The sequence below is a fragment of the Homo sapiens genome, chromosome 7 (assembly GCF_000001405.40).
Source record: "Homo sapiens chromosome 7, GRCh38.p14 Primary Assembly".
Classification (NCBI taxonomy): Eukaryota; Metazoa; Chordata; class Mammalia; order Primates; family Hominidae; genus Homo; species Homo sapiens.
Window position 1 is genome coordinate 74395836 of NC_000007.14, and position 26376 is coordinate 74422211.

Genomic DNA, 26376 nt, shown 5'->3' on the forward strand with positions numbered 1-26376 from the left:
TGGAGGTAGCTGTGACTGGCAGTTGGTTCAGGAGCTTAAGATCTCAGTGCCAACACCTTTGCAGTGCTCCCCGCCTCATGATTGCAAGGTGGCTGCTGAAAGTCCAGCCATCACATCATACATCATAGCAGAAAGGAGGAGGAAAGGGAAGGGAGCTGTGCCAGCAGATTTCCACTGTTCTCTACCCGTGGCCACCTAGTAAGGGAGTTTTCCCCTCTGTAGTAGTTGCAGGCAAGGGAAAACGCTAGGGCATAGGGGTGCATGTGCTCCTGCCTATGCCCATGGCAGGCATTACCAATCGATCACTGCACTGTTTCCTGCAGACCCCAAATGTGGCCTCAGAACCATTATCATCATAGTACTCCAGGTAGATCCTGTCAGTTGATTAAGAGGTGACATGGGAGATAAAACCCATTTGACATCAGGTATTTAAAATGTCTTGCTGGCCAGGGGTGGTGGCTCAAACTTGTAATCCCAGCGTTTTGGGAAGCCAAGGCGGGAGGATCACTTGAGGCCAGGAGTTCAAGATGACCCTGGGCGACATAGCAAGACCCTGTCTCTATTTTTTAAAAATAGATAAAATGTCTTGCCTCATGAGATTTCTTGGGTAAATGTTTTGGGGTTATGTGTGTGTGTGTGTGTGTGTTTTAATTAAACAAATATATTGTCTTTTCTTTAAAAATTTTATTTATTATTATTTTCTTTGAGACAGCCTTGCTCTGTTGCCCAGGCTGGAGTGCAATGGCACGATCTTGGCTCACTGCAACCTCCACCTTCCAGGTCCAAGTGATTCTCCTGCCTCAGCTGCCCGAGTACCTGGGATTACAGGCACTTACCACCACGACTGGCTAATTTTTGTATTTTTAGTAGAGATGGGGTTTCACCATGTTGGCCAGGCTGGTCTCAAACTCCTGACCTCAAATGATCCGCCCACCTCGGCCTTCTGAAGTGCTGGGATTACAGGCGTGAGCCACTGTGCTCTGCACTCCCCCCACAACAACTTTAAAAAGTACTCTAGGAAAGGTCAAGTCCTCAGGACCATCCCAGCCCCAAATCCTGGCCCCTCTTGGGCTTTGGTTGAATTGTGTCTACTGTGGCCCCTCGTGGCACAGATGCCATCTAGTAGCCCATGTCCCCCACCAGTTGGTCAGCCCCTGGACACTTGGCAAATTGCTAGAGTGTGGGAGCTGGAGGAGCCAGGGCTGAGTGCAGTGGTTCTGTGCCCGCCTCACCCCCAGGAGCCTGAACGAACTGCGGGTGTTGCTGCTGGAGGCCAATCGTCACTCCCCAGGGCCGGAGAGGGACCTGAGCCGTGAGGTACACAAGGCTGAGTGGCGGATCAAGGAGCAGAAACTCAAGGATGACATCCGGGGCCTGCGTGAAAAGCTGACCGGGCTGGTATGTGGGGTAGGGGTGGCCTAGGGGCAGGGGCACTAGTCCGGGTGGGGCTGGGCTAGCCTTGCTGTCAGGCCATGGAGACTGGAGACCTCCTGGAATGACCCCAGGGACAGCTGAGTCATGGTGAGGATTTGAAATCTTCTAGGACCACAGGCAGGTGGAGGGACCCTGGCTAGCCGCTTTTGCAGACATCATGGCTGCCTATGTGGCAGTCTGTGTGATACGGTGCAAAGGAAAACTTCCTATCTGACCTGTCCAGAGGCAGGATGAGCCAATACAGGTAAAGAGCTCCCTGTTCAGAGGAGTAATCAACCACAAGCCAGTTCCTTGCTCAGGGTCCTGCAGTGGGGCTTCACACATCAGTCTCAGGAAGGAGACAAGAACTTGAAAGTCTACAGCAAGCCTGGGATTCTGGGTGGCTGAGTTTTTTTTGTTTTTTTTTTTTTTTTTTGAGACAGAGTCTCGCTCTGTTGCCCAGGCTGGAGTGCAGTGGCGCGATCTCAGCTCACTGTAAGCTCTGCCTCCCTGGTTCACACCATTCTCCTGCCTCAGCCTCCCAAGTAGCTGGGACTACAGGCACCCGCCACCACGCCTGGCTAATTTTTTTGTATTTTTAGTAGAGACAGGGTTTCACCGTGTTAGGCAGGATGGTCTCGAACTCCTGACCTTGTGATCCTCCTGCCTCGGCCTCCCAAAGTGGTGGGATTACAGGTGTCAGCCACTGCGCCCGGTCGAGATTTCTTTTCTATTATGAATAGGAACCTGACTTCACTGAGTCTGCAGAGACGGGTTGGGGTAGGCAGGTGATGCTGGTAGCATAGCACAGGACCATCCCCATCCCTTGGCCAGGCGCAATGGCTCACACCTGTAATCCCAGCACTTTGGGAGGCTGAGGCAGGCGGATCACTTGAGGTCAAGAGTACGAGACCAGCCTGGCCAACATGGCGAAACCCCATCTCTGCTAAAAATACAAAAATTAGCCGGGCATGGTGGAGTGTGCCTGTAATCCCAGCTACTTGGGAGGTTGAGGCAGGAGAATCACTTGAACCCAGGAGGCGGAGGTTGGAGTGAGCTGAGATTGCGCCACTGCACTGCAGCCTGGGCGACAGAGTGAGACTTTGTCTCAAAAAAAAAAGAATAAAGAAACCACCCCATCCCCATCCCATCCTCCTGTGATGAGCACTCAGGACAAGCCTGAGCCTGGTGAACGTCACGATATGGAGGGCGTGGGGTCCAGGAGGACAGGCCCTTGCCTGGGAAAGCTGTCCTGAAGCCCCCCACCACCCTCCTGCCCAGACATTGGGCTCAGCCACTGTAGAGGTGATGGAAGGAGAGCAGGGCCCAGCCCTGGGCAAGGGGGTGGTTCACAGGCTGGAGGGAGGGCCTCAGCGCCACCGACCCCCTATATCCGGGAGTAGGCCCTTGGCCCTCAGGGTTCCGGGATAAAGAGCATCACTCTGGCCACACACCCAGACTGTGGCTGTGGGGGTCACTGAGTCCTGCCGGCCTTCAAGTCCTGGCCTATCTGGCTAGCAGGGGTTGGTGGCTGCACCCTCTGTGGTCCCTGTGGCTCAACAGAAGATAAGCCCCTGGGGTTGGCACGGACTGGGGAGTCTTGAATACCCCCAGGGGCTTCCCTAGAGCCTTGTAGGAGTGCGCAGTGCTGAGCTCAGACTGGTGCCCATGGGGCACAGATTGGTCAAGTTTACTTGGGAAGTGGCGGCCTCTGCCCCAGGGTAGCCTCTTGTCTCATCATCTCCCTGCACTGTGTCCACGGGAGAACTTGGGAAGCCTTGGTGTGTGGGTAGAAGCCTCTTGATTTCAGGATGGAGGTTCTGTTGGGAGGTGGTTTGGAGGGTCAGAGCAGGCAGGACTGGGCAGTGCTGAAGGATGGAGTTTGTGCAGGAGCGAGGAGGCTGGCGGGCCTTGGGGCAGGTACAGCTCTGGGTGCCATGGTGGGGGTGACTATGGAGAGGAGGAACCTCATAAGACAGTTGGGTGGGGGCAGTGTAAGAAGAAGGGTGCTGGGTGCGGTGGCTCATGCCTATAATCCCACTGCTTTGGGAGGCCAAGTTGGGAGGATGGCTTGAGGTCAGGAGTTCGAGACCAGCCTGGACCTCATAACAAGACCGCATCTCTACAAAAAAAGTTAAAAATTAGCCAAGTGTGGTTGCATGCCCTGCAGTATCAGCTACTCGGGAGGCTGAGGTGGGAGGATCACTTGAGCCCAGGAATTGGAGGCTGTAATGAGCTGTGATTGCACCACTGCACTCCAGCCTGCACAATAGAGTGAGACTCAGTCTTTTTTTGGGGGGGGGGGGGTGGGGACCAAGTCTCACTCTGTCGCCCAGGCTGGAGTGCAGTGGCATGATCTTGGCTCACTGCAACCTCCACCTCCCGGGTTCAAGCGATTCTCCTGCCTAGGCCTCCAGAGTAGCTGGGACTACAGATGTGAGCCACCACACCCTGCTAATTTTTGTACTTTTAGTAGAAATGGGGTTTTACCATGTTGACCAGGCTGGTCTCGAACTCCTGACCTCAGGTGATCTGCCTGCCTCGGCCTCCCAAAGTGCTGGGATTACAGGCGTGAGCCACCAGGCTCGGTCTCTGTCTCTTTTTTTAATTATTTTTAAAGGCAAGGCTGGGCGCAGTGGCTCATGCCTGTAATCCCAGCACTTTGGGAAGCCGAGGCGGGTGGATCACGAGGTCAGGAGATTGAGACCATCCTGGCTAACACGGTGAAACCACGTCTCTACTAAAAATAGGAAAAAATTAGCGGGGCGTGGTGGTGGGCCCCTCCCAGCTACTCAGGAGGCTGAGGCAGGAGAATGGCATGAACCCGGGAGGCGGAGCTTGCAGAGACCCAAGATCGCGCCACTGCACTCCAGCCTAGGTGATAGAGCGAGACTCTGTCTCAAAAAAAAAAAAAAAAAAAAAGTCAAGAGGGATGGGGTCCTGGGTTCCCCACTTGGAGACCATGGAGCACCTCACAGAGGCCTGAGGGACCTCTGGGTGATGCCCAGGCTTGGAACCCAGAGACAAAGTGAGGCTGGAAGACTTTCCTGCCTAGAGTTGAGACGCCCACCAACACACACACGCACACTCATGTACTCTTCCACTCTCCTGCCACTTCCAGGACAAAGAGAAATCCCTGTCGGATCAGAGGCGCTACTCCCTCATCGACCGGTCCTCGGCGCCCGAGCTTCTGCGGCTGCAGCACCAGCTGATGAGCACGGAGGACGCCCTGCGGGATGCGCTGGACCAGGCTCAGCAGGTGGAGAAGCTGATGGAGGCCATGAGGAGCTGCCCTGACAAGGCCCAGGTGAGCCGCGGCTGACAGGGCCCACCAGGAGGCAAGCCACGGGGCAGTGTCCTCGGAGCCCCCGTCTGATGCGGGAGGCAGCCTTGTCTTTAAAACCCCAGTCTGAGGAGGTAGGGAGCTCGTCCCAGGAACCTGGTCTGAAGGGGGAGGTAGCCCTGTCCCAGAAACCCTGGTTTGAAGAAGGAGGCAGCTCTGTCCTGGGAACCCCAGTCTGAAGGGGGAGGCAGCCCTGTCTCAGGAACCCGGGTCTGAATGGGGAGGTAGCTCTGTCCCGGGAACCCCTGGTCTGAAGGGGGAGGCAGCTCTGTCCCAGGAACCCTGATGTGAAGGGGGAGGCAGCTCTGTCCCAGAAGCCCCCGGTCTGAAGGGGGAGGTAGCTCTGTCCCGGGAACCCTAGTCTGAAGGGGGAGGCATTTCTGTCCTAGGAACCTTGATCTGAAGGGAGAGGCAGCTCTGTCCTGGGAACCCTAGTCTGAAAGGGAAGGCATCTCTGTCCCGGGAACCTTGATCTGAAGAGGGAGGCAGCTCTGTCCCGGAACCCTGGTCTGAAGGGGGAGGCAGCTCTGTCCCGGGAACCCTGGTCTGAAGGGGGAGGTGGCGCTGTCCCAGGAACCTCCATCAGAAATGGGAGGCAGCCCTGGCCCAGGAACCCTGATCTAAAGCGGGAGGCAGCTCTGTCCTGGGAACCCAGCTGAAAGGGGAGGGAGCCCTGCCCTCTGGAACCCCCAGTTCAAGGGGCACATGGCTTTGCCCTGAGGAGCTTAGACTAAGAAGGAAGATGCAGCCTTACCCCTAGAGGCTTGGTCTTTGGGGGTGCTGGGAGCCCCAGGCTGAAGGGGTTGGAATTTGGAGCCTGAGACGGTCCCATGGGAAGACCTCGCCATCTAGTGGGAAAATCGGGAACTGCTGCCTGGTGCACCTGGCTCAGTGTCTCCCCTAACTCTTCCAGACCATCGGCAATTCCGGTTCTGCAAACGGCATCCACCAGCAGGACAAAGCTCAGAAACAAGAGGTGAGGGGCGCCTCGGGCCTCCCAGGTCCCTCCCGTGCAGGCAGACCTCTCTGGAGAAAATCCTTGAAACGTCACTAAGAATACACACAAAGATGCATTCTGCAAGAAGCTTTACAGTAGGGTCCCTCAGGGAGGGTGCTGTTGCAGGCAAACTTGATTCCAGATTCACCCTGCTCTTTTTGATTTGTGTTTTCTTCCCTTCTTAAAAAAGTTATAGGTTGGGCGCAGTGGCCCACGCCTGTAACCCCAGCACTTTGGGAGGCCAAGGCAGGAGGATCATTTGAGCCCAGGAGTTTGAGACCAGCCTGGCCAATATGGTAAAACTCCGTCTCTACTGAAAATACAAAATTAGCCGGGTAGGGTGGACAATATAGCGAGACCCTCTCTCTATTAAAAAAAAAAAATTTTAAAAAGGCTGGGCACAGTGGCTCATGTCTGTAATCCCAACACTTTGGGAGGCCGAGGCCGGTGGGTCACTTGAGGTCAGGAATTTGAGACCAGCCTGGCCAATATGGTGAAACTCCATCTGGCGGGCGGATCACAAGGTCAGGAGATCAAGACCATCCTGGCTACCACGGTGAAACCCCATCTCTACTAAAAATACAAAAAAAAATTAGCTGGGCGTGGTGGCGGGCACCTGTAGTTCCAGCTACTCTGGAGGCTGAGGCAGGATAATGGCATGAACCCGGAAGGCGGAGCTTGCAATGAGCCGAGATCGCGCCACTGGACTCCAGCCTGGGCGACAGAGCGAGACTCCATCTCAAAAAAAAAAAAAACCAAAAAAAAAAAAAAATACAAAATTAGCTGGGTAGGGTGGCGCACACCTGTAATCCCAGCTACACGGGAAGCTGAGGCAGGAGAATCGCTTGAACCTGGCAGGTGGAGGTTGCAGTGAGCCGAGATCGCACCATTGCACTCCAGCCTGGGCAACAAGCACAAAACTGTCTCAAAAAATAGTAATAAAAATTTTAAAAATTAGCTAGGTGTGGTGGCGCATGCCTGTAGCCTCAGCTACTCAGGAGGCTAAGGCAAGAGGATCACTCAAGCCCAGGAGTTTGAGGCTGCAGTGAGCTAGGATTGCGCCACTGCACTCCAGCCTTGGTGATAAAGTGAGACCCTGTCTCTAAGAAGAACACAGAAAGAGAGAGAACCTAGTTCTGACTGCAGAATCCCTGGAGCACAGATGCTCGCTAGAAACAGGAGCAGCACAGCCACAGAATCTGCCAAGCTCCAGACACAGGCAGGGTTATGTGGGCAGAGCCAGCCTCAGAGGAGTTAGTGTGATTTTGTCCTCCTGGCCTTGTTCTCCTGGCCACCCTGCGAGACACATGGGGTCATCCCAGTTCACAGATGTGAAAACTGTCCAGGTGCAGTGGCTCACACCTATAATCCCAGCACTTTAGGAGGCCAAGGCAGGTGGATCACTTGAGGTCAGGAGTTTGAGACCAGCCTGGCCAACATAGCGAAACCCCATCTCTACTAAAAATACAAAAAAAAAAAAATCATCTGGGTGTGGTGGCACATGCCTGTAGTCCCAGCTACTCGGGAGGCTGAGGCAGGAGAATCGCTTGAACCCGGGAGGCAGAGGTTGCAGTGAGCCAAGATCGTGCCACTGCACTCTAGCCTGAGCAACAGTGAGACTGTCTCAAAAAAAAAAAAAAAAAAGAGAGAGAGATCCAGCCCCGTACAGGCACTGAGGGCTCTTTGTAAAACCTGCTTCTGGCTGGGCGCAGTGGCTCATGCCTGTAATCCCAGAACTTTGGGAGGCCGAGGTGGGTGGATCATGAGGTCAGGAGATCAAGACCATCCTGGTCAACATGGTGAAACCCCATCTCTACTAAAAATACAAAAATTAGCTGGGCATGGTGGCGCATGCCTGTTATCCCAGCTACTCAGGAGGCTGAAGCAGGAGAATCGCTTGAACCAGGGAGTCGAAGGTTGCAGTGAGCTGAGATCAGACCACTGCACTCCAGCCTGGCGACAGAGCAAGACTCCGTCTTAAAACAAACAAACACACAAACAAACAAAAAACCTGCTTCTTCCCCTCGGCTCCGCTTCCCATCAGCACCTCCCACCCCACCTGCTGTCTCACACAGCCACAAACACACAGCAGGGAGACACTTCCTGCCTCAGGGCCTTGGCACATGCAGTTCGCTCTATGCTCCTCCCCCACCCGGCCCCAACTCCTTTCCTCCCTGACTCCCCTCTGGCCGCCTGGCCCTCCAGGCTCTCTGAGACCCTTGCTGATGATGCCCTTTACTCTCTCTAGGACAAGCACTGATCCTGAGGGGATACTGTGGAGCAGCCCAGTCCACACCAGAGCCCCACGCGGCTGCCCGGCAGTACCTCCTCCAGGCAGGAGCCGGGACTGTCACTTTGGAGACAAAACAGTGTTTGTAACAATAACGTACTCACCGCCGCGGACAATCCCCCACCCCGATCCCTCGCCAGACCAGGACGCTTCCTCAAGCCCAGCCTTCTACAGAGAGTGTGAACGGTACAGCCCCGGCCTGACCCGGGGACCTTCAGCCTGGACACCCGGCAGCTTCTGGAGTTTGTCAGTGGAGGCAGAGGGGATCCGGCCAGGCCCCTCTGTCCAGAAGGAGCTGCCCTGAGGACCATCTTAGCGGCCCTGTCCTCTTTTTCCGCCCATTCTCCCTCGGGTCTCCCCAGAGGGGCCGGCGGGGGCTGGGGAGGGGGTAAGTTTATCCATGCAGACACCAAGGGGGAGCATCCAGTCTTTAAGAGCCAAGTGGGGGCCCCTTTTCCGAAGCCACTTCCAGGCCAAGGCAGTCGCCAGGGCTTCTTGTCCCCACCTTCTGAACCTTCTTCAAACAGTAGTACAAGCTCCCCTCAGCCAGCCTGCCTGCCCAGCGAGGCCCCCAGGTTCAAGGTGTTGGCGGGGGCGGAGGGCAGGGGAACGGGATCCTTCTCCCGCTGCCCACCAACACCAACACACACACACCTCTAAGCTGCTGGCCGAAGATGTCACCAAGGCCAAAGACACAGTATTATGAAGGTTTGGAAACCCCTCTCCTCACCTCCCACCGTGACCTTGGGCAAACCCTGGCTCGGAGCCCAGGGCAGAGGCAGCTCAGAGTGGAGGCTCTAGGCAGGTTTGACAAAGGTCAGTAATACGGTTTCCCCTGGGGTTGACCAGATGTTCCAAAATATCTGCATCCACCTGGAGATGCAGCTAAGTGGGTCCTTATGTACACACCACGTTCACACACACACAGAGGGACCACGTGTGCACGCATGACCGTGTGGGTGGCGGCGTTTGCTGTGAACCACGCTCAGGCCACACAGAGACACATACTTGGTTTCTGGGACTGAGACCCAGGCCTGGCAGGACCGTGCCTACAGATACTGCAAACGTTCCTACAGCCTAGAGGTGCGTATACACACCCAAGTACACGCAGCCAGGCATTCAGGGGTGTGTTTGCCACATGGAGCATCCCTTCCTGGTCTTGCCAGGCACCTGCACAGAGCGTCTCCAGCCCCATCTCCTAACGGGGGCTGGGGGTAAGAGAAATCTAACTGCGCTCCCCCAACCCCTCGCCCTGCCATCTTCCCCTCAAGCCTGCTAAGTTATCCCAGGCCTGTGCGTGGTGGAAAAAGCCAGCCTTGGCCCTGCAGCCTCCACCTCGCCGCTGGGGGACCAACAGGTTGCTTACAGCTTTGCACCCCGGCATCAGCACAGGGGTCCCTGCCCCACCCTCCGGCAGCTCAGGGAGTGTTTTCCTGTGAGGCCTCCCCCATCAGTGGACCAGAGGGAGAAGCCCGATGCCCCATCCCGGCTTTCCCGTAACGCACAGGACACGTGTGCAATTCATAGGAACGGCCCAGATCGCCCTCATGAGTGCCACCTGGTACAGGTAGGTGGCGCTCACGTTCCTGCCCAAATGCAGCCCATCGGGGAGTCACAGTCAGTCCCCCCGGCCCCCCTCCCAGTCCCTGTTGGCTTTCGGTAGCTCTCGCATGCAGTTCTATTAACAGCCGTCTAGAAGCGATGCTTTAGTGGCCTAACCCAGGGTCAAATACAGCTCTTTCTAGCAAAATCAGGCAGCTCTGCCCCATCGGTAGGGGCACCGATTAGTCTACTAACAGCCAGAGGTCCATCTAGCAGGGTGCCGGGAGGAGCTGAGCCCCCGGAGGTGGGCTCCTGGTGACGGGTGTCCAAGAAGCGGTTTCCTTGGGAGCTTCTGCCTCCGTGGGCCTCTCAGCCCGCCCCGTGTGGCCGCCCGGGTGTGGCTCAGCCATGTCCCCTCCCCAGGTCCTTCATTCACCCCTCCCCTCCCCACAGTGGAATTGTTGAAGTGTGGCGAGTCTGTGCTCGGGACAATAAAGCTTGTGACAGGTCCAGGACCCCGGCAGTTGGCTTGTCTCCTCCTCTCCGTGGGGACCCCGGGCTTCTCGATCTCTCCCAATTCTTGGGCACCCTGGTGCCAGGAGATGGCCCCCGATCCTGCCCTCTGCCAGCTCATTCCTTCCCAGGTAGGCACGGCCTCAGAGGGGCTGGAGCTGAAGACATCTGGGGCTGTCCTTGTCCCAGGAGAGGCACCTTAGCAAGGACAGGCAGAGGACAGACCCAGAAAGGCTGCCAGAGAGGGCTGGTCCTGGGTTCACATTTGAACCTGCTGGAGGGATAAGTAGACCTGCAAAAAAAGTCAATGGAAACGGTAACGGATCCGCTCACACACGTGTGATGAGTCCGAGGCGGTTTCCAGCTTCAGTGGGCAAATTCCGGTTCCCGCAGCAGGCTTTCCGGAGATCAGATCAACAGCACGACGTGTTGCAAACTTTGTGGTCAAATAGGCTTTCAAGTGGAGGTTGCCCCCCTGGAAGAGAGAATGAGAATTTTTTTTTTCTCCCCAAGATGGAGTTTCACTCTGTCACCCAGGCTGGAGTGCAGTGTCACGATCTCTGCTCACTTCAACCTCCGCCTTTCAGGTTCAATCAATTCTCGTGCCTCAGCCTCCCAAGTAGCTGGGACTACAGGTGCGTGCCACCACACCTGGCTAATTTTTGTATTTTTAGTAGAGATGGGGTTTCACCATGTTGGCCAGGCTGGTGTTGAACTACTGACCTCAAATGATCTGCCTACCTCGGCCTCCCAAAGTGCTGGGATTACAGGAGTCAGCCACCACATCAGTTCCTCAAAATGTGTTCTTTAAAATTATTATTATTATTATTATTATTTTGTAGAGACAAGGGTTTCACTCTGTTGCCCAGGCTGGAGTGCAGTGGCGCGTTCTCAGCTCAATTCAACTTCCACCTCCCAAGTTCTTGTGCCTCAGCCTCCTGAGTAGCTGGGACTACAGGCACATGCCACCACACCCAGCTAATTTTTGTATCTTTAGTAGAGACCGGGTTTCACTATGTTGGCCAGGCTGGTCTCAAACTCTGGACCTCAAGTGATACGCCCGCCTCGGCCTCCCAAAGTGCTGATGTTATAGGCATGAGCCACTGCACCTGCCATTTTTGTTGTTGTTGTTTTGTTTTTGTTTTTTTTTAGACATAGGGCCTTGCTCTGTCACCAAGGCTGGAAGGCAAAGTCTCCATCATAGCTCACTGCAGCCTCCAACTCCTGGGCTCCAACAACCCTCTCACCTCAGCCTCCCAAAGTGTTAGGATTACAGGCATGAGCCATTGCGCCTGCCCAACTCTTTTTTAACTCTTTGATTTTGAGATCATTTTAGACTTACAGAATAATTGCAAAAAATAGTGGCATTCCCATACATTCTTTCCCAGCTCCCCCTGACATTAACATCGCACATAACTGCAGTACAATGACCCAAACTAGAAAACGAACATTGGGCCAGGTGGCTCATGCTTATAATCCCAGCACTTTGGGAGGCCGAGGCGGGAGGATCACTTGAGCCCAGGAGTTCAAGACCAGCCTAGGTAGCATACCAAGAACGTTGTCTCTTTAAAAAAAAAAAAAAAAAGCCGGGCATGGTAGCTCATGCCTGTAATCCCAGCACTTTGGAAGGCCGAGGCTGGTAGATCACCTGAGGTCAGGACTTTGAGACCAGCCTGGTCCACATGGTGAAACCCCTGTCTCTACTAAAAATACAAAAATTAGCCAGGCGTGGTAGCGTGCGCCTGTAATCCCAGCTACTTGGGAGACTGAAGCAGGAGAATCGCTTGAACCTGGGAGACTGAGGTTGCAGTGAGCCAGGATCGCGCCACTGCATTCCAGCCTAGGCAACGGAGCAAGACTACATCTCAAAAAATATATAAAAAATAAAAATAAATAAACAATTACCTGGGTTTGGTGGTATGCACCTGTAGTTCCAATTACTTGGGAAGCTGAGGCAGGAGGATCGCTTGAGCCCAGGAGTTTGAGGCTGCAGTGAGCCATGATCACACCACTGCACTCCAGCCTGGACCACAGAGTGAGACTCCAACTCTAAAAATAAAAAAATCAAAATGGGTAAAGGATCTGAATACATCTTGCTCCAAAGAAGATGTACAAATGATCAATAACACATGAAAAGATGCTCAACAACATGAGTCATTAGGGAAATGCAAATCACAACCACAAAGAGATACCACTTCATACCCACTAGGATGCCTAAAACTTTTTAAAAGATAGTAGCAAGTGTTGACAAGGATGTAGAGAAATTTAAACTCTCATATATTGCTGGTGGGAATGTAAAATGGGGCAGCTGCTTCAGAAAAGTTCGGCAGTTCTTCAAAATATGTTTTGTTTTGTTTTGTTTTTTAAGACGGAGTCTCACTCTGTCGCCCAGGCTGGAGTCCAGTGGCACGATCTTGGCTCACCGCAACCTCTGCCTCCCAGGTTCAAGTGATTCTCCTGTCTCAGCCTCCCAAGTAGTTGGGATTACATGTGTGTGCCACCACACCCAGTTAATTTTTGTATTTTTAGTAGAGACAGGGTTTCGCCCTGTTGGCCAGGCTGGTCTTGAACTCCTGACCTCAAGTGATCCACCCACCTTGGCCTCCCAAAGTGCTGGGATTACAGGCGTGAGCCACTGCACCAGTTCCTCAAAGTATGTTTGTTTACTTTTTTTTTTTTTTTTTTTTTTTTTTTTAGAGACAGGGGTCTCACTATGTTTGTTGCTCAGGCTGGTTGTAAATTCCTGGGCTCAAGCAATCCTCCCGCCTCACCCTTCCCAAAGGGCTGGGATTACAGGCATGAGTCACCATGCCCAGCCCCAAAATGTTAAACACAGAATTACCATATGACCCAGAAGTTTTACTCCTAACTATATACTCAAGATAAATTAAAGCATTTCCACAGAAAATTGTGTACACACATGTTCATAGCAGCATTATTTGTAATAGCCAAAAAGTGGAAATAAAGGTCCAATCAACAGACAAATGGATAAACCACATGTGGTCTATCCATATAATGGAACATTATTTGGCCATAAAAAGGAATGAAACGGCCAGGCGTGGTGGTTCACACCTGTAATCCCAGCACTTTGGGAGGCTGAGGCAGGCAAATCACTTGAGGTCAGGAGTTCGAGACCAGCCTGGCCAACATGGTGAAACCCCATCTCTACTAAAAGTACAAAACAATTAGCTGGGTTGGTGGTGTGGGTCTGTAATCCCAGCTGTTCAGGGAGCTGAGGCAGGAGAATGGCTTGAACCCGGGAGGCAGAGGTGACAGGGAGCCAAGATCACGCCACTGCACTCCAGCCTGGGCAACAGAGCGAGACTCCGTCTCAAAAAAAAAAAAAAAAATAGAATGGGCCGGGCGCAGTGGCTCAAGCCACCAGCACTTTGGGAGGCCAAGACAGGCAGATCACAAGGTCATAAGATCGAGACCATCCTGGCCAACATGGTGAAAACTCATCTTTACTAAAATACAAAAAATTAGCCACGCGTGGTGGCGCACGCCTGTAGTCCCAGCTACTTGGGAGGCTGAGGCAGTGGAATCACTTGAACCTAGGAGGCAGAAGTTGCAGTGAGCCGAGATTGCACCACTGTACTCCAGCCTGGCGACAGAGCAAGATTCTGTCTGCCCCCCCACCAAAAAAAAAAGAATGAAACACTGATATTTGCTACAACATGGATATACCTCCAAAGCATCCTGTTAAGTGAAAACAGGGAGACACAGTCACGTACTATATGATTGCACTTACGTGAAATATCCACAAAGACGAATCCATGGAGAACAGGCAGATTGCCGATTGCCAGAGGCCAAGGGCTAAGGAAAAAATGGTGAGGAACTGCGTGATGGAAATGTTTTGGAATTCACCTGACCAAGAAACAGTAAAAAACAACAAAAAGGAAGGAAATGGTAGAGGTGGTAGCTGTATGACATTGTAAATGTACTAGGGCCTCTATGCAGTGATTAAATTAACGTTATGTGCCCTTCACCTCACTAAGATACTTTCTGAAAAAGAAGCTGGGCGCTGTGGCTCCTGCCTGTAATCCCAGCACTTTGGGAGGCCGAGGCGGGCGGATCACAAGGTCAAGAGATCGAGACTATCCTGGCCAACACAGTGAAACCCCGTCTCTACTAAAAGTACAAAAATTAGCTGGGCGTGGTGGCAGGCGCCTGTAGTCCCAGCTACTAGGGAGGCTGAGGCAGGAGAATGGCTCAAACCCGGGAGGCCGAGGTTGCAGTGAGCCAAGATCGCACCACTGCACTCCAGCCTGGTGACAGAATGAGACTGTCTCAAAAAAAAGAAAAAGAAAAAGAAAGCTATCCTTGTCTACTAACAAGGAAACTTAAAAAAAGAAGAAAAGGCTGGACATGGTGGCTCATGCCTGTAATGACAGCACTTTGGGATGCTGAGGTGGGGGAGGATTGCTTGAACCCAGCAGTTCATGATCAGTCTGGGCAACACAGTGAGACCTCATCTCTACAAAATATTAAAAATTAGCCGGATCAGTCGCCATGGCTCAAGCCTATAATCCCAGCACTTTGGGAGGGCGAGGCAGGCAGATCACTTGAGCTTAGGGGTTTGAGACCAGCCTGGGCAACATGGTGAAATCTTGTCTCTCTATAAAAATATTTTTAAAAATTAGCAGGGCATGGAGGCGGGTGCCTGTAATCCCAGCTACTTGGGAGGCTGAGGCACGACAGTCACTTGAACCCAGGAGGCAGAGGTTGCAGTGAGCTGAGATCACACCACTGCACTCAAGCCTGGGTGACAGAGCAAGACTCCATGGGGGGAAACAATGAGCCAGGTGTGGTGGTGCATGCCTGTGGTGTATGCCCAGCTACCTTGGAGGCTGAGATGGGAGGATCACCTGAGTGTGGGAGATTGAGGCTGCAGTGAGCTGTGATCATACCACTGCACTCCAGCCTGGGCAACAGAGTGAGACCTTGTCTAAAAGAAAGAAAGAGAGAAGGAGAGAAGGAGAGAAGGAGAGAAAGAGAGAGAAAAGGAAAATGAGGGAGGGAGGAAAGGAAGGAGAGAGGGAGGGAGAGAGGGATGGAAGGAGGAAAGGAAAATCTAGCCGGGTATGGTGGCACACATCTGTAATCCCAGCACTTTGGGAGGCCAAAATGAGAGGATAGCTTGAGCCCAGGAGTTAAAGGCTGCAGTGAGCCATGATTTCATCACTGCACTCCGGCCTGGGCAACAGAGTGAGACCCTGTCTCAAAAAAAAAAAATTACATTATGATAGTTGCCATGGTTTCACATGTATACCAGTATGAAAAATTATTATTTGTTAATAATAACATCAAAGGCCGGGCATGGTGGCTCACACCTGTAATCCCAGCACTTTGGGAGGCCAAGGCGGGCAGATCACCTGAGATCAGGAGTTTGAGACCAGCCTGGCCAACATGGTGAAACCCCATCTCTACTAAAAATACAAAAATTAGCTGGGCGTGGTGACAGGCACCTGTAATCCCAGCTACTTGGGAGGCTGAGGCAGGAGAATTGCTTGAACCTGGGAGGCGGAGGTTGCAGTGAGCTGAGATCGTGCCATTGCACTCCAGCCTGGGGGACAAGAGCGAGACTTCATCTCAAAATAATAATAATAATAATAATAATAATAAATAAAAATAACAATAACACCAAAGTGTATTAGGAATACAATTTGGAACAGTAATAAATGAATATTTTTAATGGTTCAAATAATTTCAGGGAAAAAACTCAATCAGTGCAATTTATCATGTTAACAGAATAAAGTAGGAAAAACCTACCAAGAACTGTTTGAGCAACTGCACTAGACTGCAGGGTGTGGGCAGAGGGTGAATGAATCTGTTTGATGTCACTTGATTTAAAAGTTGTACGGGGGCTGGGAGCAGCTCACGCCTGTAATCGCAGCATTTTGGGAGGCTGAGGCAGGTGGATCACTTGAGGCCAGGAGTTCAATACCACCCTGGCCAACATGGCAAAACCCCGTCTCTACTAAAAATACAAAAAAAAAAAAAAAATTAGCTGGGCATGGTGGCGGGTACCTGTAATCCCACCTACTCAGGAGGCTGAGGCACGAGAATCGCTTGAACCCGGGGGGGGGCGGAGGTTGCATTGAGCCAAGGTTGTGCCACTGCACTTCAGCCTGGGTGACAGAGTGAGACTCTGTCTCAAATACAAAAAAAAAAAAAAAAAAAAAAGTGAAACTGTTTTTAAAAAAAAACAGTAGGGGATTGAATGTGGATCTAGGGGGCCAGCAACAGCTGGCTGGGTCTGTGGTTCAGCAAGATCAGCCTGGATTGGGGCTCCAATCTGTTCCTGTTTTCTCACCAGCAGTTCCACTGTGCTGTAAGGCGTTAGTAAAGGGATGAGTGAAGGTTGGAGAGTGCTCTTATCTGCTATTATCCCTCGCCTCCACTAAGATTCTGACATCTGAGGCTGAAGAAAATGACAAGACTATCCGGGCGGGGAGGCTCATGCCTGTAAACCCAGCACTTTGGGAGGCCAAGGCAGGTGGATCACTTGAGGTCAGGAGTTCGAGACCAGCCTGGCCAATATGGCGAAACCCTGTCTCTACTAAAAATACAAAAATTATCTGGGGGTGATGGTGCACATCTGTAGTCCCAGCTACTCTGGAGCTCTGGAGGCTGAGGCAAAAGAATTACTTGAACTCGGGAGGTGAGGTTTCAATGAGCTGAGTTCTCGCCACTGCACTCCAGCCTGGGTGACCGGGTGAGACTGTGTCTCCAAAAAAAAAAAAAAAGAAAGAAAGAAAAAGAAAATTACAAGACAGCCCAGACCCCAGACCCTGCTTGAGGTTCCACAGTGAAAAATACCCAGATAGAGCACACTCTTAGGAAATATTCTCCCAGGGGTGGGTGCAGTGACTCATGCCTGTAATCTCAGTGCTTTGAGAGGACAAGGTGGGAGGATCACTTGAGTCCAGGAGTTTGAGACCAGCCTGTGCAACATGGTGAGACCCCATCTCTACAAAAAAATAAAACAATTAGCTGGGGATGGTGGTGTGCACTTGTAGTCCCTGCTACTAGCGAGGCTGAGGCAGGAGGATCACTTGAGCCCAGGAATTGGAGGCTGCAGTGAGTTATGATCGTGTCACTGCACTCCAGCCTTGGTGACAGAACAAGACCTTTTTTTGAAAAAGAAAATATTCTTCCAGGAAAATCTAGAAGACATGACATCTCAGACATTTGAAAATTGTAAGCATTATGGATAGAAGAAACCTGGATATGGTGATGATCTTTATTTAGTGTGAGCTATGCAAAAAAAGTAGCATGATGGCTGGGCCCAGTGGCTCACACTTGTAATCCCAGCACTTTGGGAAGCTGAGATGGGAGGATCACTTGAGCACAGGAGTTATAGACCAGCCTGGGCAACATAGCAAGATCCCATCTCTATAAACAAATGTGGTTTTTTGTTTGTTTGTTTGTTTGTTTGTTTGTTTTTTAATTAGCCAGGCATGGTGGCACATGCCTATAGTCCCAGCTACTCTGGAAGCTGAGGTTGGAGGATCGCTTAAGCCCAGGAATTGGAGGCTGCAGTGAGCTATAATCATGTCAACTCACTGCAGCCTGGGCAACAGAGTGAAGCCTTGTCTCTAAATAAAAACATTAAAAATAAAAGAATCTAGAATGTAAACCACACGGCGAGCTTACATATTCCAAATGCCTAGACTTGTGCCTGGATTCATGCTCAACAAATAATTTGTTGAATAAATAACACACAAAGAAAATAAAAAGTCTTGGCCGGGCGCGGTGGCTCACGCCTGGAATCCCAGCACTTTGGGAGGCCGAGGCAGGTGGATCATGAGGTCAGGAGATCGAGACCATCCTGGCTAACATGGTGAAACCCTGTCTCTACTAAAAAATACAAAAAATTAGCCAGGCGTGGTGGTGCGCGCCTATAGTCCCAGCTACTCAGGAGGCTGAGGCAGGAGAATGGTGTGAACCCAGGAGGCAGAGCTTGCAGTGAGCCGAGATCATGCCACTGCACTCCAGCCTGGGCGACAGAGTGAGACTCCATCTCAAAAAAATAAATAAATAAAATAAAAAGCCTAACATAGGTCTAATCGGGTGGCAAAGAAAATAGAATTGAAGAAAAGCATTATTTAAAGAGGAAACAGCTGAGAAACTTCCAGAATTGATGAAAGATGTGAATGCAAAGTACAAAGAAATCCAGGCCAGGCGCGGTGGCTCACGCCTGTAATCCCAGCACTTTGGGAGGCCGAGTCAGGCAGATCGTTTGAGGTAAGGAGTTCAAGACCAGCCTGGCCAACATGGTGAAAACCTGTCTCTACTAAAAATACAAAAATTAGCCAGACTTGGTGGTGGGAACCTGTAATGCCAGCAACTCGGGAGGCTGAGGCAGGAGAATCTCTTGAACCCAGGAGGCAGAGGTTGTAGTGAGCTGAGATCGCACCATTGCACTCCAGCATGGGTGACAAAGTGAGACTCCAGCTCAAAAAAAAAAAAAAAAAAGAACTCCAAATATTATAAATAAAAAGAAATCCAGGCCAGGTACAGTGGCTCACGCCTGTAATCCCAGCACTTTGGGAGGCTGAGGCAGGCGGATCACCTGAGGTCCAGAGTTCGAGACCAGCCTGGCCAACACGGTGAAACCCCGTCTCTACTAAAAATACAAAAATTAGCCAATGTGGTGGCACCACCTATACTCCCAGCTACTTGGGAGGCTGAAGCAGGAGAATCGCTTGAACCCAGGAGGTGGAAGTTGCAGTGAGCTGAGACTGTGCCACTGCACTCCAGCCTGGGTGACAGAGACAGACTCCATCTCAAAAATAAATAAATAAATAAAAATAAAAGGAAATACACATCTACGCACATTATATAAAATATAATTGGCAGAATGCCAAAGGCAAAGATCCAAGCAGGATTCACAGGGCATAGTCTTAACAGCAACTTTATTTTTCTCTCCCAATTTGTCCTTAAACCTCTCCAAGTAGGGGTTGACCTGCCCGTTACTGGAGAAAAACTTGGACAGGCCCTTCCACTTCATCATGCTCTCAAAAAGTGGGCGAGGCTGGATGCGGTGGCTCATGCCTATAATCCCAGCACTTTGGGAGGCAGAGGTGGAAGGATCGCTTGAGGTCAGGAGTTCAAGACCAGCCTGGGCAGCATAGCCAGACCCCAAAATCTAAAAAAAAAAAAAAGCTGGGCATGGTGCTACATGCCTGTGGTCCCAGCTACTAGGGAGGCTGAGGCAGGAGGATCACTTGAGCCCAGGAGTTCAAGGTTGCAGTGAGTTATAACCATGCCATTGCACTCCAGCCTGGGCAACAGAGCAAGACCCTGTTTCCAAAAAAAAAAAAAAAGAATCGCAAACATAGCCTCAATTCAGGACCTAAAATCTTAGGCACCCATCCACTGCCAGGGAGGGATAACAAGCTCTCCAAGGAGGCCCACCCCGCCTATGAGGCTTCAGCTGGGGGATGGCAACCCCACCCTCGCCTGGAAGGTGGGATTCGCCACACAGCTCTGTCCAAACCTGTAGTTCTCAACCGGGGATACTTGCCCCCTCGGGGACATTTAGCAATGTCTAGAGACGTTATTGGTGGTCACAACGGGGGCATGCTACCGGCATGTAGGGAACAGAGGCCAGGAATGCTGCTAAATACCCTACGATGCATAGGACAGAGCCCCGGAACAAAGAATTATCCCACCTAGAGCCTCAATAGTGTGAGGTTAAGACAGTGCCCTAAAGCAATTCTCCTCGCTCATTTTTTCTCATCACCAACAGCTGGGGCCTCCTTTTATAAATTCTGATGTAGGTGAATTGCCTAGTACCACCTTATAACTCACAGGACTGTAGATTTGTGATCAAGAGGCAGCTTCAGCCAGGTGTGGTGGCTCACACCTGTAATCCCAGCACTTTGGAAGGCAGAGATGGGAGGATCGCTTGAGGCCAGGAGTTTGAGACAATCCTGGACAATATAGTGAGAGTCCCATCTCTACCAAAAATATATATATATTTATATATTTTTAAATATATATATTTTTAAAATATTATATATATTTATATATTTTTAAATATTTTATATAGATATATATTTTGTTGCCCAGGCTGCAGTGCAGTGGTGCGTTCTTGGCTCACTGTAACCTCCGCCTCCCGGGTTCAAGCGATTCTCCTGCCTCAGCCTCCTGAGTAGCTGGGATTACAGGCGCCCACCACCACGCCCAACTAATTTTTTCGTATTTTTAGTAGAGGGGGGGTTTCATCATGTTGGCCAGGCTGGTCTCGAACTCCTGACCTCAGGTGATCCACCTGCCTCTGCCTCCCAAAGTGCAAGGATTACAGGCATGAGCCACCGCGCCCAGCCTATATATATATATTTTTTTTTAACTGGCCAAGCACAGTGGCACACTCTGTAGTCCCAGCTATTCAGGAGGCTGAGGCAGAAGGATTGCTTGAGCCTGGGAGGTCGAGGTTGCAGTGAGCTATGATTGTGCCACTGCACTCCAGCCTGGGCAACAGAGCAAGACCCTGTCTCAGAAAAAAAAAAAAAAAAAAGGCAGCACCTTGCAGCAGCTGAGACCCAAGTTCCAACTCTGACTTGGGCAGTAACCAGCCTGTGGCCCTGGGCAGAGCCCTTCCCTCCCCAGCTTCAGTTTTCTCATCTATAAAGTGGTAACATAAGCCCCAGGCAGGGGTCACAGCTGAACATCTTGGGAATCATGGTTTGGGTAGGGGTTGGGGGGACATCCTTCTCTGGGTCACTCCTGGGATGTGGCCCTGGGTCCAGCTTTGGGAAAATTAAATAAAGCTTGGAGCATCAGTGTTTTGGGGGTGGGGATTGAACCAGTGTGGTCTGAAGCAGGGGGCGGGGTGTCCTCATGACCCTTCCGCCCCAAGGTTCACAGTACTGGCCTTTGGAAGGCATCTCCATGGCATGGGGTTATGGCGACAACCACTGCTGCAACCCTCCCCCTCCAACACAGTGTCTGTCTCATGTTGAGGGAAGCTCAGAAACCGGGACTTCTAGGCCAGGCGCGGTGGCTCACGCCTGTAATCCCAGCACTTTGGGAGGCCGAGGAGGGCAGATCACCTGAGGTCAGGAATTTGAGACCAGCCTGGCCAACATGGTGAAACCCTGTCTCTACTAAACATACAAAAATTAGCCAGGCACAGTGGCTCATGCCTGTAATTCCAGCACTTTGGGAGGCCAAGGCAGGCAGATCATTTGAGGTCAGGAGTTCTAGACCAGCCTGGCTAACAGGGTGAAAACCCATCTCTACTAAAAATACAAAAATTAGCCGGGCGTGGCGGCAGGCGCCTGTAATCCCAGCTACTTGGTTGGCTGAGGCAGGAGAATGGCTTGAGCCCAGGAGGCGGAGGTTGCAGTGAGCCCCGCTGCACTCCAGCCTGGATGACAGAGCAAGACCCCGTCTCAAAAAAATAAACTGGGACTTCTCTTGCCCCACTTCTCTTTGCTCTGCCTGAGAGGGAGACATTGATCAAACCCTCCAGGTCTGATCGGGAAACATTTGCCTTCTCCTTTTGTGGGGTCCTGGGGTGAAGAACAGGAGGGGAGGCTGGAGGGTGGGTGACACCACGCACCCCTGGGCGGCAAGAGACCCACCAGCCAAGTCTTGCCTGTGATGCCTCCCATTTACCAGCAGGTGTCACCCTCGGCCCTCTCACTGCGGCTTGTCCATTCCACCCTCTGTCCAGACTGGGCTTTAGGGCTGCAAGGCTGGAGACACAGGCCAGCTTTGCACGTGGGAGCAACAACGGGGACCCAGGTGTCCCGGCTCCTAGTCCCAGAGCTCCCTGTCCCTGTTGCCTCCCAGACTTGGTTCAGGCCTCTCTGTGAGTATCCGTGTGTGTCCACACTTCCATCCCTGGGAGAGAGGCCGGCCAGGGCGTGGACATTCATTCCCTCTCTGGGACCGTGCCGGGCCAGGACTGTCCTGGCCTCCCTCCTCCCGCACAGCACTGCCTCCCCTCCCCGCAGGCTGGGCTCCCTCCACAGAGCTGACCCTGGCCTACTTTCTCAGTCCTGAACCCTCCCATCACGTCCCCCTTGCCAACCTCAGCTGGGCAGTCACCCTGGTCCCGCTCCCACTCCCCAAGAGAGGCTGGGAAGTGTTTTGAGACTGAAGTTGGGGTCCAGTGTAAATTCAGAAGGAACATGGTATAGGACGAATAACCAGGATGCTCACTTCTAGAAGCTTCTCTGGAACCTTGGGTAAGGCTGTGGGCCCTTTCTCTGGAGCTACCAGCAAAGGGAAGGACTTGCTGCCTCCAGGGTGGCTCCAGCCCCGTCTAGACCCCCTCCCAGCCACCCTCTCCCGCTGCCACAATTTCCAGCTGGCCCCACGCACAGCTGTGCCTCGGTTTCCCAGCAGCCCCAAGCCTGGAGTTCACCAGGAGCACCTTCACAGCCCCGCACCGGGTCCGCAGCCTGGGGTCCATCATATTCATCACACTCTGGGCCCTGTCCCCCACCCCCAGCTCAGGCCTCAGATCCTGCCTCCAACCCCACACCCCCAGGCCTTTCCAAGTGACCCACACACATGCATGGGCACACACACACAGATACATACACACATACACAGAGACACACATACATGTACACATCATATATATATACACGCACACAGAGACACATATAAACATGCACACACGTACACACATACATGTACACACGTACACACATGCATACACATATACATACACAAACACATACATACACAAACACTATAGACACGTACACAGACACACACAAATACGTACACATACACAAAAACTCATACACATACACAAACACGTACATACACAGACACACAAACACTACAGACACATGTACACACGGACAAATACACATACACACAGACACACATACATGTACACATATACACATGTACACAGGTACACACGCACATACACACGTTACACACAAAGAGATGTATACTCACATACACAAACATGCACATATATACACACAAACAATATACATACACATACACATACACACACGCATATACATGCATATACATCCACACTTGTGCACACATACACACATGCACACACACACACTTTTTCTTCACGGCCTGCAGAGACGCGCCCATCGGGGACTTGATTCACACCTCTCTCCCTAGAGGGGAGTGCTCTGTGTGCACCGCAACATATCTCTAACCTCTTTTTTTAAATTGACAAAAATTGTATCTATTTATGGTGTGCAATATGATGTTTTGAAATATGTATAAAGTGTGGACCAGCTACATCAAGCTAATTAGCATATGCATTACCTCATTTGTCTTTTTGTGGGGAGTGTGCTGAGAACGCTTAAAATCCACTGTCTTGGTACTTTGCAAGTTTAGAACACATTGTTATCAAGGATAGCCACCATGTTGTACTTGGATCTCTTGAACTTAGTCCTCCTAACTGAAATTTTTGTGTGTTTTTTTCCTTGTGTGTGTGTGACAGAGTCTCACTCTGTTGCCCAGGCTGGAGTGCAGTGGTGCAATCAGCTCACTGCAGCCTTCATCTCTGGGCTCAAGCCGTCCTCCTGCCTCAGCCTTCCAAGTAGCTGGGACTACAGGTGTGCACCACCATGCCCAGCTAATTGTTTGTATTTTTAGAGAGATGGGGTTTTGCCATGTTGCCCAGGCTGGTCTCGAACTCTTGGGCTCAAACGATTGGCCTGTCTCAGCCTCCTAGATTGCTGGGATTACAGGCATGAGCCACCACTGCCACCCCCACATCTCTGACTCTCAGCCCAGGGCGTGGCACACAGGTGCCCACGAGTGGCTGTCAGACGGATTGATCAATTCCACCACTGCACAAACTTCCATCTTCAATCTTGCACTCCACCTCAACTGCTCTCCCAGAGCTCCAGACACTGCCAGGTTGCCCCCGCATCCTGACAAACTGTCCTCTTTCTGTACCCTTTCCAAGTCATCTAATTGTCCTCATTTTTGTTTTTTTTTTTTTTTTTTTGTAATTTGAGTTTATTTGACCATCTTGATCCGAAATGTTCAAGCTTTTGGCTATAGTTTTCTTCATTTATTTATTCAATATTTTTTAGTAACTCTATTAATTAATTGATTTCCTTCCTTCCTTCCCTCCCTCCCTCCTTCCCTCCCTCCCTCCTTCCCTCCCTCCCTCCTTCTCTTCTTCCTTCCCTCCTCCCTCCCTGCCTCCTTCCTTTCTGCCCACCCACTTTCTTTCTTTCCTTCTTTCTTTCTTTTTCTTTCTTTCCTTTCTTTCTTTCTTTTTTCTTTCTTTTTCTTTCCTTCCTTCTTTCTTTCTCTTTCTTCTTTCTCTTTCTTTCTCTCTTTCTCTCTCTTTCTTTCTTTCTCTTTCCTCCCTTCCTTTATCTCTTTTTCTTTCTTTCTTTTTCCTTCTTTATTTTGAAGTGGAGTCCCGCTCTGTCACCCAAGCTGGAGTGCAGTGGCGCAATCTCTGTTCACTGCAACCTCTGCTTCCCGTGTTCAAGCGATTCTCCTGCCTCAGCCTCCCAAGTAGCTGGGATTACAGGCATGCGCCACCACGCCCAGCTAATTTTGTATTTTTAGTAGAGTCAGGGTTTCACCATGTTGGTTAGGCTGGTCTCAACTCCTAACCTCAGGTGATCCACCCAGAATTGTTTTCTTTAAAACAACTTTTCTGTACTGGACATGGTGGCTCACACCTGTAATCTGGCACTTTGGGAGGTCGAGGCGGGAGGATTGCTTGAGCTTAGGAGTTCGAGACCAGCCTGGGCAACATGGTGAAACCCCAGGCATGGCGGCACATGTCTGTAATCCCAGCTACTGGGGAGGCTGACGTGGGAGGATCACCTGAGTCCAGGAGGCCGAGGCTGCAGTGAGCCATGATCATGCCACTGCCCTCCAGCCTGGATGACAGAGCGAGACCCTGTCTCAAATAAATAAATAATAAATAAATAAATAAAGCTGTTTTTCTTTCTTTCTTTCTTTCTTTCTTTCTTTCTTTCTTTCTTTCTTTCTTTCTTTCGTTTGTTCTTTCTTTCCTTCCTTCTTTCTTTCTTTTATTTCAGTCCTCTTTACTTGAAAGTTTATCTCTTGTTCAGAAAATAAATATGGGCCAGGTGCGGTGGCTCATGCCTGTAATCCTAGCACTCTGGGAGGCTGAAGCAGGAGGCTCACTTGAGCCCAGGAGCTGGAGATCAGTCTGGGCAACATAGTGAGACACTGTATCTTTTTGGGGATTTTTTGGACAGAGTCTTGCTCTGTCGCCAGGCTGGAGTGCAGTGGCGTGACCTTGGCCCTCGGCTCACTGCAACCTCTGCCTCCTGAGATCAACTGATTCTCCTGCCTCAGCCTCCTGAGTAGCTGGGACTACAGGTGTGCGCCACCACACCCAGCTAATTTTTTTGTATTTTTAGTAGAGACAGGGTTTCACCATGTTGGCCAAGATGGTCTCAATCCCTTGACCTCGTGATCCCCCTGTCTCGGCCTCCCAAAGTGCTGGGATTACAGGCACGAGCCATCACGCCCTGCCTGACCCCCAGTATCTTCTTAAAGAAAAAAGAAGAAAAGAAAAGAAACAAGATATTCTTTCTCCCTAATGCCAGTTCTTCATCTGCGGTCCCCTTCTCTGCACCGTCTCTCTGTCTCCTGGGTGGTCATCTCCATCTTCTCAGACTTACGTCTTTAATGTTTGTATTTTTAATCTTTTAATCCCAGACCTGAGGCATTGATCATCTATCTTCTTAAATCACATTTATTTTGTCACTTTATCATTATTTTAAACCTCTTAACTTTTATCTCTTGTGGAGAGTAACTTTTAAGACCAACTTCATAGCTTTTCATTTTAATTTTGTATTTGCTGATTTTAACTTTGTAATACACATTAGCCCTCTCATTTATAAGGTATTCATCTTATTGGTGCTGCTAGTCTTTTAATTTCTTTTATCTGAACTATTTTTCATGATTATAAAGAAAACTCTTGATTTTAAATCTTTGCTGGCTTTTTTTTTTTTTTTTTTTTTGAGACACAGTCTCACTCCATCGCCCATGCTGGAGTGCAGTGGAGTGATCTTGGCTCACTGCAACCTCTGCCTCCTGGGTTCAAGCAATTCTCCTGCCTCAGCCTCCCACATAGCTGAGAATACAGGCATGCGCCACCACGCCCAGCTGATTTTTGTATTGTTAGTAGAGGTGGGGTTTCACCATGTTGGCCAGGCTGGGCTCCAACTCCTGACCTCAAGTGATCCGCCCTCCTTGGCCTCCCAAAGTGCTGGGATTACAGCCGTGAGCCACCATGCTTGGCCTGGCTCTTTCATATCCTGAGCC

At 51.1% G+C, this 26376-nt stretch overlaps 1 protein-coding gene across 2 annotated transcripts in view, besides 4 other annotated features; it reads left to right on the forward strand.

The window, feature by feature from the left end:
* The window catches only part of CLIP2 (CAP-Gly domain containing linker protein 2), a 116529-nt gene extending 106429 nt beyond the window's left edge, over window positions 1-10100 (forward strand). For both annotated transcript variants that reach the window (NM_003388.5, NM_032421.3), the window contains 4 exons: window positions 1239-1398; window positions 4535-4720; window positions 5670-5732; window positions 8002-10100. In NM_003388.5, coding sequence (NP_003379.4) covers window positions 1239-1398; window positions 4535-4720; window positions 5670-5732; window positions 8002-8013 — 421 coding nt within the window. In that variant the 3' untranslated portion in view covers window positions 8014-10100. The remainder of the gene's footprint in view (window positions 1-1238; window positions 1399-4534; window positions 4721-5669; window positions 5733-8001) is intronic.
* Window positions 16-205: a silencer, noted in NCBI's record as "fragment chr7:73810181-73810370 (GRCh37/hg19 assembly coordinates)". NCBI's record gives its function as "represses an EF-1alpha promoter that drives an FKBP-Casp9 reporter gene in an ReSE screen in HepG2 liver carcinoma cells {active_cell/tissue: HepG2}" and the evidence as "EXISTENCE:reporter gene assay evidence [ECO:0000049][PMID:32094911]".
* Window positions 8831-9695: an enhancer, noted in NCBI's record as "H3K4me1 hESC enhancer chr7:73818996-73819860 (GRCh37/hg19 assembly coordinates)". NCBI's record gives its function as "activates a minimal SCP1, AML or CMV promoter by ChIP-STARR-seq in naive H9 embryonic stem cells {active_cell/tissue: H9 hESC(naive)}" and the evidence as "EXISTENCE:reporter gene assay evidence [ECO:0000049][PMID:30033119]".
* Window positions 9696-10558: an enhancer, noted in NCBI's record as "H3K4me1 hESC enhancer chr7:73819861-73820723 (GRCh37/hg19 assembly coordinates)". NCBI's record gives its function as "activates a minimal SCP1, AML or CMV promoter by ChIP-STARR-seq in naive H9 embryonic stem cells {active_cell/tissue: H9 hESC(naive)}" and the evidence as "EXISTENCE:reporter gene assay evidence [ECO:0000049][PMID:30033119]".
* Window positions 21661-21790: a silencer, noted in NCBI's record as "silent region_18279". NCBI's record gives its function as "represses an Ori minimal core promoter by ATAC-STARR-seq in GM12878 lymphoblastoid cells {active_cell/tissue: GM12878}" and the evidence as "EXISTENCE:reporter gene assay evidence [ECO:0000049][PMID:35858748]".